We start from the raw sequence: 14022 nt of genomic DNA on the forward strand, positions 1-14022 counted from the left end.
GTCGCCCAGGCTGGAGTGCAGTGGTGTGATCATAGCTCCTTGCAGCCTTGAACTCCTCGCCCAACCTTGAGCTCTCACCTTGGCTTCCTAAAGTGCTGGGATTTACAGGCGTGAGCCACCGTGCCCGGCCATGGGATACAATTATTAAAGGAAGAAATCAGTGAACCAGACAGCTCTGCATCACCATGTTACCCTTCACCTAATGGTGGGGTGTAGCTCATTCTCAGGGTGAGGAAACCCCTGGGCTTCAGAAGCCTTCCCTAATTCAGAGAGAGCTTTATGGTGTCCGCCTCCCCCTAGGTCCTACCAGTTTTTCCCAGTGGTCTTCCAGCTCTCCTCAGTCAGGAAAGGAAGAGGATGAGGACATCCTTTCAGTCAGAGTAACTCAAGATTTCGTGCTGACTGTCAGTGAGGACTCGGGATTTCTTTGATCCAGCTGTACGTGTCCCTCAGAGGGACAGAATCAGGTGAGAAGCCAGGCCGTGTGGCACTTCCCTGCCGGCTCAAGAGTTTTGTGTTTCTTGGATTTCAGGCTTGAAAGTACATTGAAATTGATTGTAGCCATTACCTGTTTCAATTGCTTTAGGTGATGATTTTTGCTGGGTTTTGCTATTTTAGTCTCATTTTCACAGTTAGTAGAGGAAAATTTTGTGATGCAGGGCTTTTTTCCCCCAATTTCTGTTTTTCAATATTTTCTCTTTTACCATTTGTAACCCATCTTTAAGCATTCTCTATCTCCCTGTCTGTTTAATTTTCTTCTTATTATTATTATTGAGATGGAGTCTCGCTCTGTCTCAGCTCACTGCAAACTCAGCCTCCCAGGTTCAAGCAATTCTTCTGCCTCAGCCTCCCGAGTAGCTGGGAGCAGAGGTGCACACCACCACACCTGGCTTTTTTTTTTTTTTTTTTTTTTTTTTTTAATAAAGACAGGGTCTCACCATGTTGCCTAGGCTGGTCTCTAACTCCTAGACTCAAGCAATCCGCCCACCCGGGCCTCCCAAAGTGCTGGGATTACAGGCGTAAGCCACTGCACTCAGATCTGTCTGCTTAATTTTCTTCCTTGCTTGTATAGGATATAGTTTTAGTTTACTATTTGAGCTACTAACTCAAAAGTTTCATAGTCTATCTTACTCGTTTTCTGCCTGTATTTTTTCATTTCCATTCTGCTATTGTACTTATTTATTTTTTAAGCTTCATTACACTTTTATTATGTTTAAGGTATTGTTTTTATATATAAAATAAAATCTAGGGAATAGGGAAAGTAGTAGTGTATGCTTAATCTGTCTTTGAATGAGAGGCGGGCTCAGAGCTAGGTGTTTGGAGACCTTTCAGTAATCCTGAAATAATGCCACTCAGGAAGCTGTCTGCCTCCCTAACTGATCCTGCAGGTGGCCTGGTTGTGTTTCTAAAACCTATCCTTAATGCTGGCATCTCACAGAGCTAACCTTTCATGCCATGTTCAACACAATATCCAAAAGGTTGGTCTTCACCCAGCTGCTGGGAGAGGAGCTGCCATGAAGCCATGAGTGATTTTGCACTCAATAAGTTTTGTGTGGTGAGGATGGATAGAGATAAGAAAAGAAGAAATTTAGGCAGGAGGACTGCTTGTCTCTGTAGAAGAGATAAGTAGTAGAGGAGGTGTCATCCTGGTACAGAGTAATTCCAGAACAAGCAGGGTGTGAAAGAAATTTCTTTTTTTTTTTTTTTTTTTGAGACGGAGTCTCGCTCTGTCGCCCAGGCTGGAGTGCAGTGGCGGGATCTCGGCTCACTGCAAGCTCCGCCTCCCGGGTTCACGCCATTCTCCTGCCTCAGCCTCCCAAGTAGCTGGGACTACAGGCGCCCGCCACTACGCCCGGCTAATTTTTTGTATTTTTAGTAGAGACGGGGTTTCACCGTTTTAGCCGGGATGGTCTCGATCTCCTGACCTCGTGATCCGCCCGCCTCGGCCTCCCAAAGTGCTGGGATTACAGGCGTGAGCCACCGCGCCCGGCCAAGAAATTTCTTTTAAGAAAACAAAACAAAACAAAACAAAAACCAAAAACATGGAGACTGTAATCCTCCAAGATCTTGCTGAAAAAGAAGGATCTCCAGGTAGGTTAAACCTGCACCCAACTTTAAAAGTCTCCTGATGTCTCATTTCTTTCTTTCTTTTTTTTTCCCCTTAAGACAGCGTTTTGCTCTGTCACCAGGTTGGAGTGCTGTAGGGTAATCATGGCTCACGCAGCCTTGAACTCCTGGGCTCAAGTGATCCTCCCACCTCAGTCTTCCAATTAGCTAAGACTACAGGTACACACTACCACACCTGGCTAACTTAAAAAAATTTTTTGTAGAGTGGCGTCTTGCTATATTACCTAGGCTGGTTTCAAACCATGGTTCCGGTATTCAACAAATACTGATTTAACATCTCTCATGTACCAGGTACTGTTTATTCCATGTGTTGTAGATACTGCACTAAACTAAATGGATGACAATCAGTGCACTCATGGAATCTGTATTTTAATACTGTAGATAGATAATAAAATAAGTCAGTAAAGTATATATTGTACTAACAGGTGATAAATTCTAGGGAAAGAAATAAAATAGGTAGTGGAGACAGGAAGTCTTGTGGATGGGAATATTCACAAATATTGTGGATATTGGGTTCCACATATTGTTTGACTTCCTTCCTTAGGTTTTGGCCCAAATATAAACACAAATCTTTCCCCTCTCATTTGGAAAGCTGAGATGCATGGCGACTTTAAAATCACTGCATATTACTGAAGTTACTGAATACTAAATGACTAAATATGAAGGGAAACTCAAGTGGAAATACACGAGCACACATGAGAAATGTAAACATTGGTTCCCAGGACTCAGAGCCTGTCTCATTTCACATGGTGCCTCCTAAGAGCCTTTTTCTTTGAACCCAAAGGGCTTAAGTAATTCTAAAGGCTCTTAGTGCCGATTCCTCACTTCCTGTCTCCTGACCTGCTTCCACATGGAGGATGCCCCTCACAGTCCCACACTCAGGAGGCTCATCTTTGACATGAGCCATCTCATCTCATTTGACATCTTGTTTGACTGCTCCATCTAAATTATGGTTGGTTTCCAGTCGGAGAAGAACCTCACTTCCCTACGTGACAAGCATAGCGAATTATCTCATCTACCCTTCTATGGCAGAAGTGTGGCTTTGCCCTTGAAAGTTGTGGCAGAGGCTGGGTGCAGTGGGTCATACCTCCGATCCCAGCACTTTGGGAGGCCAAGGAGGGGGGATTGCTTAAGCCCAGGAGTTTGAGACCAAGCTGGGCAACATAGCAAGACCCTGTCTCATTAAAAAAAAAAGAAAGCTGTGGCAGAGATGCCAACAGCTCACTGAATATACAAGTGCTCCACCTCTTTTCTCAGAGCCCTTGAAATGTGGTAGGGTCTGTGCCAACTCCAGGCTAAAGCATCTGAGACAGTAAGCATCTTTCTAGTTCTCTCTTGCACAGAGACTAGAAGTCACATATTCTGGTTAGTATGGCAGCAAGAGGTAACCAGCCTGGATCCTTGAATCGCTGCATGGAACAGAGCTGCCCTGCAGAGCCACCAGACCCATAGTAGAAATTGTGTGAGCAACAAATACACCTTTATAGATTAATCCACTAATATTTGGGAGTTTATTTCTTACCTTATAGCCTAACCTAACTTGACTAATACCAGGCCTAATAGTAAAGTGAGATCGTAGTTTAACACACTGCAAAGCATTTCTGTAGCAACTGAAAGACCATGTCTTTACACTGAGAAAGCAGCATAGGGTAGCTATTAGGATTGTAAGCTTTGTGTTAGACAGACCTGGGTTTGAATCTTGCAAATGCACCTTACCAACTAGCTGTGTGACATTAGTTACTTTTCTTAGCCTCTCTGAACTTATTTTTATATGCCCAAATCACAAGGTAGCTTGAAGGATTAATTGAGGTATCTAGCAAAGTCTGGTACAAAGCAAACCTTTAGGAAATTGTAGTGGTTATGATATTAAGGAGTTAAGAAATTTATGCAGAGTGGATTTGACAATGTGCTTCCTGAGTAGTTGGAACATAAATATCTACTGTAGTGACTCTGCGTGTTAGGGTACAAGGGAGAGATCACACTGTTGCCACTGCATGGACCTCTCCAGCCACCTAACTTTCTAATGTGTTGGTAAAATTAAATAGAAGGGATAATTTGTTATTTGCATAACAGAAACAGTATTTCTTCTTACAAGTAAAGAGAATTTGGGTGACTTAAATATAAATAAAATTAAAAGTTGACCTAACAGAAATCATGTTTAAGACTCTAAAAATGAGTTTCTTATAGTTGGAGGGCTTGAATTCCAGCAGAATTGCAAAAGATCAGAGCATAATAATTGAGTCTGCTTTGAATATATCACGTATCCATAGTCAAGGAGCAATTTAATCAACATTGAAAAATTTCAGAAGTTGGACAAAATTAGAGCAATGATAATCCTGATAGGTGATGGAATGGCTCCCTGGCAGGATGACATCAAGATCATGAGCACTGCCAACATCATCTATCTGAAAAAATGATAACGGGGCCTTAAGAAAAGGGTGTGGAATTGGCTCATGTCAGAAATGATGGGGCAGAGATGCCCAGATCACTGAAAGGAGCATTATGAGGAACAGAGAACTGCTCCTCATCCGGGTGAGTCATTGTCTTGTCCAAGCTTCACAAAGGCAAGACTCAGAAGCCCCTTCCAGGACAGTGAGTCCATTTCCAGTCCAACATTCTGCCAGAGCAAGCGACTTTCCAAATCCATTTACAGGGCAGTGATAAAATTAGATTATTGGCTATGAATATTATACACTTGTGAACGCCTGCATCATTACAGGACAATTCCATTTAGATGTGGAGATGAGACAATTTTTCTGCATAGAAAAACCCTCTCTTGGGAGCCACTATTGACAACAAAGCTCTATTATCTGATACTTTCTTTAATAAGAAAGATTAAATAGAGTTCCATCTAGTTTTACCATTCAGGAATTTAATATCTTTGGAAGGTATTAAGCTGTGTGTGCTATGTAAGGCAACATGTTTTGAATAGAAGGAATTGGATATTCACATATTGGTGTGCATTCCCCTTTCTCCACTGACTGCACTGTGAAAAGGAAAAGAGCACTTGCTATGCTTCTGCTACACTTTTAAAGTTTTTAACCCAGCAAATTACCACATCAGCAGGCTCTCTTCTCTATCAGAAAAGCCCACTTTTAGGCCCCCCACAAGTAATCAGGTAGAATGACCACAAAGCGCACTTCTGGGTTAAGTGAGATTTTAAATTTACCATTGTTATTCCAGGCTGCATTGTATTTAGACGCTTCTGAAAAGTGCTTTGTGTTCAGACACCACCATCTGAAGCATGCAAACTTTTGCACACCTGGCTCAGGTGGCAGCAGACCACGTGGGGACTTCTTAAATCCGAATGTGATGACAGGTGGTCTGGGGATCTTATTAAAATGACTCAGCAGGTCTGGGACACAGCCCCAGACTCTGCATTTCTAACAGGATTCCAGTGATGCTGCTGCTATTGCTGCCTCTTGGGACACATTTTGGGCAGCCGGGCCCCATGTGAACCTCTCCCAAGTTAATGCAGAACTATGGAACGGTGGGTGGAATGGAGGAGAGATGAGACCAGATACATCCTGGACTCATCACTCAACCTCTCTGAACTTTGGATTCCTCATTTATAAAGTGGAATGAATAATTACAAAACTTAACTTACTTACCTTTCACAGAGCTGCTGTGAAAACAGCTAGTGTTTCAACAAATAGCAGTGCAATGCCATCCATAGAAATCCCTATACTCTTTCTCTCCTAAAATGATAGGATCAGCTCCTAGGACCTTTCTTACATGCATATGATAATGTGATGTTCTCCTCTGAATCATCTTTCAATGTTTCTTTGGAACATTGCGGGGAAAAAGTCAGTTCTCATTGTTGTCTTCCATGCTTCTTGCTGCTAAGTTCTACTCAACGTGATAGTCCCTTCATCTAGGTTTCTCAATCCCCAAGTTGAAATTCTGCTTAAGATCCCTTAGTGGATATAGATTAGGGAAATAGAGCTAATTCTTGGCAAAACTGTTTTTTAATGCAACACAAACTGTTATAATTACCATTGGGAAGCAGGAACATTATGGAATGCCGATTTGATTTGCATAAAAATACAGTGCAGTTCAGCCCAAGTGGCAATTAATAAGTTATCAGGGAAGACAGGAGACACAACAATAAATCATTTTTATGTTTTAAGTTAAATGTTTCAGTCCTGAATCTGGGAAGTATTATACAGCGATTTAGCTTCTTAAACCTAGTACGAAAAGCCTAGCTTAGTCTCTAACTAGGGAAAAGAGTGAACAGCATTCATGTTGAAGTTCTTCTCAAACAATGAAACAGAGATAGTATTAGTGCATGGCCCTTAGCATTTTTCCGAAAGTATGTGTGGATTCATTCTAATAGACTCCTTGGAAGTCATCATATTTTTCTGGAAACATCCATGAATTTAGGTAAAATGTAACTTTAGTAAAGTGATTCTCTATCTCTGACTCTTTTCTGTGAGTAGAGAGACCTAAAAACCCATGCATTAGGGAAAATTTTCTATTCTTGGTTAATCTTGGAAAATGCAAAAAGGCATAAGTGTCCAGAGAAAAGCAGGAAGTGGAAGAAATATTGATTAATGGAGCCTGGCTGTCCAAAGCAGCCCACTCCTCAGGGAGTTCCTGTGCTTCCAGGAATACGTTTTCCTACAGTCAGAGGACGGTGGTAGAGAAAGACTTATTGGTCTGTGAGTAATAGAAATTAAGCTAGGCCAGTTTTGTTGTAAAAAGGGCCCCTTTGACTTGACACTTCTGTTGTCTTTGTTATTGTTATTATTTTTCCTATTATTCTGGTCCTAGATGGAATAAAACTCTCCTAAGAATTACCAAACAGCCAGTTGTAATGTCATACCCAACTTTTCCCATTACCTAAATGCAGCGTGGGTGCATGAATAAATACTGTCAGGTTCATTACTATTTTCTGCAAGAACAAAACTTACCAAGTTATGAGTGAATATGATAAAAGAAACTTTACCAAATGAAATATAGAACATTTGACACACAATTTAGGATCATTCCCATTCCTAACGTCAAATTCCGTATTCCTTATCATGACAGGGTCCAATGTGAGTTGAGATTCTACTTTCAGAAAATGTCTTCTTAATCTTCTCTCCTTATCAGGATATTTTAAAAAAGAGAATTTTTAAAAATCTTGGAAGTTATTGGATAGTGGCATGTCACCAACTTCTTTAACTAGAACAGTGCTAATATAATAAAAGCCATCAGGTGTGGGATATTTTATGAAAATGTTTAATTCAACTGTTTCTTTGGAATGTAGTAGTCATAGTTTGGAATTTAAGTTACAGTTCAGTTCTATGTGGTTTTTATGCTACTCAGTGTCTGAGAATACAAATGTCATTTAAAGTTAAGGCTTCGCTGTTCATTTTGAAACAACAATTTACAAGTGTCATATTGTCATAGAAAATAATAATTTCTGTAAAAAAAATCTGCACAAAATCTTATGATGGTACAAAACATGAAGCAATAATATACCAGTAAAATGAAAACATTTTACTACAGAAAGTTTTATAGATTTCCATAAAGAAAAAATATGTTATTTTACACCTTTAAAAATTACAAAACAATCTAAAACAATATAAACTGAACATTTTGTAACACTGCCTTTACAAATTAATAACTTTATAAACATATAATTTTTAAATATATTTATCAGTGCAAGATACTTTAAATTTTAAAGTTGCAGTATCATTTTTCCTTGGCTGAGGACAACTTTAAGTCTGTTGCCTTTAAAAACAACAAACGAGTGTTTCTTAGTGCTTTCCTTCTGGTAGGATTATATCAACTAAATGAATGTCTCTGGGGACAAAAAACTATTCTTCTTTCATGGTGATCAATATTTTCCTGGAAACAAAAGGCATTCTCAATCCAATTTAACTAAGATGAATGGACTGTCTCGTCTATGATGCAAATGTGACTCCCAACAAATGTCTTTGAGTGAGACGTCTAGCAATGTGGGAAGGAAGATCTAAAAAATCTCATGTCCAACATGGCATGATAAAAATCCACCAAAACCAACCAAAGCTTCTTTGGGTTAATTCATAGGCTGCCTGGTAAGATATTTGCTTCCCTGTGCTGTTAGAGGCTTAGATGTTGCCAGCCCTAAGGCAGGCTTATTCTTTGTGAGCCGCTGGAAGTTTCTAGAAGCATTCATTTAAGTCTATTTTTTCAAGGTTGCTGTTATGAATTTTTAAAACATTTGTTTGACTTTATGTGTTTTTCCCCCTCTTATCTTAAAATACTTGACCCCCAGGCATCAGGATTTATAGTTTCATTCTTAAATTAACTGTTCTTCCTTCCACTTCCCTTGTGTGACTCAGTAGCAAAATAAGAAAGTTCTCTTGGGTCATTTTTGCATATTTGGATAGAAAAATCTCATGCTTTTGGATTTGGAAGATTTTATCCAGTTCTTCCTTTGGGTCTCACTTGAAAGCCAATTTGTATTATTTCTTTCCTCAACTTATCACTATTTCTACTAAATGCCAACATTTCTATCAAAGGTCATTTTGAATAGAATAGATAAGGAAAAAAGATACTGTCACTTTAACCAGTTAACAAGAAAACCAAAGTTAGACTTTGGAGGGCAAAGTTAGGAATTTCCCTTATTTATTTATTTTTAAACATAAAGTCTAGTAAAATCGTTTGCCATTCCCAGCAGGTTAAAGCTGCAAGTTTCTTTCCTGGACAATGGCAAATCCTCCAATTCTAAGAGAGAAAAAAGACAGAGAGATAGGAGAGAGAAAGAGAAGAGAGTTTACATTTGAAAATACATTCCATATGAAAGAACAATAAGAGAGAATATTGTAGCTTTATACAAAAGGGTCAAGAAACATGAAATTGAACTACAGAAAAAGCAGAACAATTAAGCCACGTTGCCAAATCTTCAGAGCCCTTGCCTGCCCGGAGGGGCTGGCATCTCACACGAAAATAAACTTTCTTCTTAGTCAGTGGGCCACCAGAGTTTGATTAAAGAGCAGGGCTTTCACCAGCAAGAAGCAGAGTGGGTCGTTAATGTAACACAATGAACCAGTACAAACAAAAAGGCACTTGAGAGGACATAGACTAGCCAGTGCCAAGGATTTGTGTTTTTGTTGTTGCGGTTGTCAGCAGTATACCCAGTGGCCAGCCGTGTTCAGGGATGGCACCGTTTTCTGTATGGAGTTCACAAGCACGAGGTTTAGTACAACACCGGAAAAACAGCAAGAAAACTGGACAGTATTGCTTCGTAAACAGAGCTGACACACTACACCAGTACTGAGGCTACAGTACTTTAAAAAGAAAACAGCCTAATCCTTCTTTGCCTATGCACGACGCGGGCAATTATACACAAGTACAACTTCAGGAGTCCACTGAAATGCGGTGATTCTAGTATATTCTGGGCACTGGGTTTCAGGTAGCATGTCCATCCAAAGGGCCACACGGAATACGCTTGGTGCCAGCATCTTGGATTTCGCTCAGTTTCCAAAAAGAATCCACAAAGGGGAGAGGAGAGAGAGAGAGAGGGGCAGGAGGGGTCGAAATGAATGATTATGTCAATCATACTTGGTCTCAACACCAGCATCTGATTATTCAAATGAAACCAACAGGAAAAAAGCTGACTGCACATGAGTCCGATGGTGAACACAGCTCCTTGTCCATGTCTGTCGGCCATACTCATTGAAGCTCCTGAGAAAAGCCTGGCTCAGTGGTCATCAACACACTTCCCAGCCTGTATAGTGAAAGATCAACAGCTCCCCAGCTCACTCCCGTCCTTCCACTTCCGTCCTTTGACTGTCTTTTCATCTCTGTCTGCCTTCATGCCTCCGAATAAGTACTCTGTGTATTCAGTTTGTCTTTTTTCAACTTCACACCATCCACAAGTTCAAAGTTATAGTTCTCCAGGGCAGACAAGTTTCTTTCTGACATCCCATTATGCCAACAGGCACAGTACAGCACGACCCCACAGACAGCCCCCAGGAGGACCCCCAGGGCACTCATGGCTATGATGGTGATGAGGATGGGGTCTAAGGTCTTCAACACATTGCCTGGCTTCCTGGAGATGTTCTTGTCACCTTCTCCTTCACCTTCGTATCCTGGCGTGCTCCCTATGGAAAAAAACAATATTGTCTCCGTGAGCACCGCCAACAGACCAGATGAAAGCAGACAGAAAAATAGAAAGGAACGAAACAGGAGCAAATCACACACCCCAGTTTTGCCTGTCATATCTGACTCATTGTTGGGAACAGAAGTGTGGGAGGTGGTAGAGGGGAGTGGGCGCTGGGGCTTCTGACAGACTGCTTAGCACGTGGAAACAACCCATTCTGGATCAACTGGGAGGTTCCTTGCTCATCTAACTCAGATTTCATGCAGCCCCATCTGTCCTAGATTGTAATCTGTGTTTACAGTCCTTGGCTAGATAGGTGATCATTAAGTTTTGCAAAATGCTTAGTCACACATTAGTCTAGCAAGGGGATTTTACCATTCCCAGTGCATGTACCTAACCCCAAAACAGGCACAAGAAAAACCTTCATGGCTGCCCTTCTACGTGGTGCTGTTTCCAGGATCTGGCATGGTTTATGCATGTGTTTGTTCTCCCATATGGAAAATCTTCAAGTGAAACGAATTTTGCCCAAAGTCTACAGTAGTTTCAGTAAAGAAGGAGTGATTTTTTAGAACAAGAGAATGCTTGCTGCTGACATGTAAACAGAGTGTGGCTCAAATCGAGAAACCATGTCTGTCATGCCAAATAGAAGACATTTACTAATAATCAGCATCTTTGCAGCCCTGGTAGTTTAACTGGAGACAGTTGCACTGCTCTGCAGCTCAGTCACTGGGGACTTGTTTTCTTTGGAGTGGAACAGGAGAAATTGTTAACATGGGAGCTTTGAGCCTAATTACCTGGTACTAGAAACGGGATGAAAATGTTAACGCACAATATGCCTGGGGTTTACTTAATGGTGTTCTGATCAACAAAGATTCCAATCAAAGAAAACTAAAAATATGAGATGCAAATCCCTAACCAAGAGAAAACAAGCCTTGGGGCATATTAATACTCTCTCCCTTGATGAAATATTGTTTTGAAACAACCTCTAATAAAGTTTACATCTCTGTGTGGACTTGGTAATGTGTTCATATTACTAACAGCAAGGTGCAATATTTATTTGTCTCTATGAAGTCCACGGCTGGCCATAGAGTAGGATCCCATTTCTAAGGGCAACAGATGCTGACATGCATTGATGATAAGGGTGCAGCACCATCCACACAGCAGCTGTGAGTGATGGTGGAGCAAGTGTCCAACAGCCCACAATGCTGGCTGGGAGATCTGGAAACTTCTGGGAATAGACTAATACCAGGCAAGGCCTAACTCTGATCAAAGGTCTTGCATTTGATCACAAAGCAGCGTTCAGCAAAAACACACATTTATAGTTCATCAGGCTAAAGTGTGAGGCTACCACCTAATTAGCTATGCTACTTAAGTTTCAGTCTCACTATCTGTAAAATGGGGACAAATACAACCCCTAGAGCTGCTGTGAGGATTAAATAAGATAAGGTATGTAGGACGGGTGCAGTGGCTCACGCCTGTAATCCCAGCACTTTAGGAGGCTGAGGCCAGGGAATTGCTTAAGCTAAGGAATTCAAGACCAGCCTGGGCAACATGGTGAAACTCCACCTTACAAAAGACAAAAAAATAAGTTGAGTGTGGTGGTGTGGGCCTGTAGTCTGCTCGGAAGGTTGAGGCAGGAAAATCGCTTGAACCTGGCAGGTGGAGGCTGCAGTGAGCTGAGATCACGCCACTGCACTCCAAGCCTGGGTGACAGAGACAGACTCTGTCTCAAGAAAAAAAGAAAAGAAAAAGATCAGGTAAGTAAAGTGCTCAGAACATACTAACTCTTCAATAAATCCTTCTTATCATCATCATCATCATCACAAAACCAAGGTTCTAGTAGAGGAAGATGGGAAAAGATGAATCAAACACAATGGATTATCTCAGAAATTGGGCTCTGGTCTCTTAAAGATCCTAGCTGGATATCAACAAACAGAAGAATTTCGGTTGGTTTCAAATAACTGTGTATGGAAATAGTCTTCACTAATTTTCTGTCTTTGTAGTGATAAACTGAGTGTGTTTGAGCTGATTATCCTTTATGTTCCACCTCTAGACTGGGCAGGGAAGGGCCAGGGTGAGCACACTTCCCAGGCTCAACCAGGTGTACAAGCAGGACCCGTCACCGAGGCTCCCCAAGTCTTATGGGCAGCTCGGAAGTGGGTACTCTGTGAGCACAATCCGATCCACAGCACCAACCCAGGGCCATGGGCATAGATGTTTTTTATTTGAACTTTTTGACATACCAGTGTATTAGAGTTCCACAAAGTTTCTTCATAAACACAATGAAAGCCATAGTAAAATTTTTTAAAAATTGGTCAGCAAGACAAATTTACCTGTTTCATCAATTTTAATTTCTGGGTTCTTTTTATCCAGGTCTGCTGGTTCTGACAAGTCAAACAAAATTGAAAGAGATATTTGAACTGCCATCAAAATATAATGCACCAAACTACACAAACCTTTAGGTACATGCACACACACACACACACACACACACACACGTGTCTACTGGGCTCCTTTTGGATTTTTTAGTTCAATCAGAAATCACCAAACAGATCAATAAAGAGGCAATGTTAAATGACCGGGAAATTGGTAATGTGACATCACAACACTGCCTTTAAGGTGCCATATCTAAATCCAGGTAGCACTGCTGCTAGCAGAATCTGTTGTTTTAGGAGACAAGGGTGGGCTGGGTATGCTGGCTCGTGCCTATAATTCCAGCACTTTGAGAGGGCAAGGCAGGAGAACCACATTAGGCTAGGAGTTTAGGACCAGCCTGGGCAACATAGTGAGATCCCATCTCTACAAAAATAAAAAAATTAGCTTTCCAGCTGCTTAGGAGGCTGAGGCGGAAGGAGAGCTTGTGCCCAGGAGATGGAGTTTACAGTGAGCCATGATGGTGCCACTGCACTCCACCCTGGGTGACGGAAGCAAGAGCCTGTCTCAAAAAAGCAAAAACAACAACAACAAATTTAAAAAAAAAAAAAAAGAAGAGAAGGGGGAAGAGACATGGTTTTGGCATCTGAAATGTGGAAAAAAATCTGGTGAATATAGGTTCTACTGAAGTAGATTCGTACATATGGTGACCATCCTATAGTTTGTAGATAACTGCTTCCTAAATTTAGTGTGCGTTAGTTTGGCTTCTCGAATAGTATGCCAACTCTTTGAGGCAAGAGACTGTGCCCTGTGTATTACAAAAATAGATAAATACATAAAATAGCTATTGAAGAAGTAGAGTTCCAGTATTCCTGTGGTACTAAGTACAGAGCAGGAATTTTTGAGTGCTTTGTCCACTGCTGTATTCCAGCATTTACAACAGTGTCTAGCACATCATAGGTGCTTTAATAGATATTTGTTCTATGTATGAATGAATGAAAGATTAATAAATAGTTGATAATCTCATAGCATCCACACCCAGATGTTCAAGGATGCATATTTGATGAATCATTGTACAATTGTCTTACACATATTTTTATTGGTAGCAGCATAAACAAATAAACAAAGTGGTTTAATGGAGCCGTAGTTGTGAATTTCCCACTACAATGTCTGGCAGCAACTACAGCTAAATGGACAAATCACAAGAAAAGAAAAAGTCCCATAGAATTGTCTCAACTATGTGCTTTCTTTTCTTTTCTCCCTTCCTTCCTTCCTTCTTTTTTCTTTTTTTTGAAATGGGGTCTTGCTCTGTGGCCTAGGCTGGAGTGCAATGGTATGACCTTGGCTCACTGCAACTTCCGCCTCCTGGGTTCAAGCAATTCTCCTGCCTCAGCCTTCCGAGTAGCTGGGATTACTACAGCTGCGTGCCACCACGCCCAGCTAATTTT

The 14022-nt window shown here is 41.0% G+C and overlaps 1 protein-coding gene across 13 annotated transcripts in view, besides 1 other annotated feature; it reads right to left on the bottom strand.

Moving 5' to 3' along the window:
- Positions 1169 to 1755: an enhancer, noted in NCBI's record as "NANOG-H3K4me1 hESC enhancer chr10:33460260-33460846 (GRCh37/hg19 assembly coordinates)". NCBI's record gives its function as "activates a minimal SCP1, AML or CMV promoter by ChIP-STARR-seq in naive H9 embryonic stem cells {active_cell/tissue: H9 hESC(naive)}" and the evidence as "EXISTENCE:reporter gene assay evidence [ECO:0000049][PMID:30033119]".
- The window catches only part of NRP1 (neuropilin 1), a 157175-nt gene continuing 150482 nt past the window's right edge, over positions 7330 to 14022 (bottom strand). For 8 of the 13 annotated variants that reach the window (NR_045259.2, XM_006717525.3, XM_006717524.3 and 5 more), the window contains 2 exons: positions 12535 to 12585; positions 7330 to 10202 (listed from right to left, as the gene is read on the bottom strand). Coding sequence is in view for 12 of the 13 variants with exons in the window: in XM_006717525.3 (XP_006717588.1) it covers positions 9913 to 10202; positions 12535 to 12585 (341 nt within the window). In the remaining variant the exon portion in view is untranslated. The remainder of the gene's footprint in view (positions 10203 to 12534; positions 12586 to 14022) is intronic. The other 5 variants (XM_047425977.1, XM_017016865.3, XM_047425976.1 and 2 more) reach the window with 1 other exon arrangement.

This window comes from Homo sapiens, chromosome 10 (genome assembly GCF_000001405.40).
Source record: "Homo sapiens chromosome 10, GRCh38.p14 Primary Assembly".
NCBI classification, from domain to species: Eukaryota; Metazoa; Chordata; class Mammalia; order Primates; family Hominidae; genus Homo; species Homo sapiens.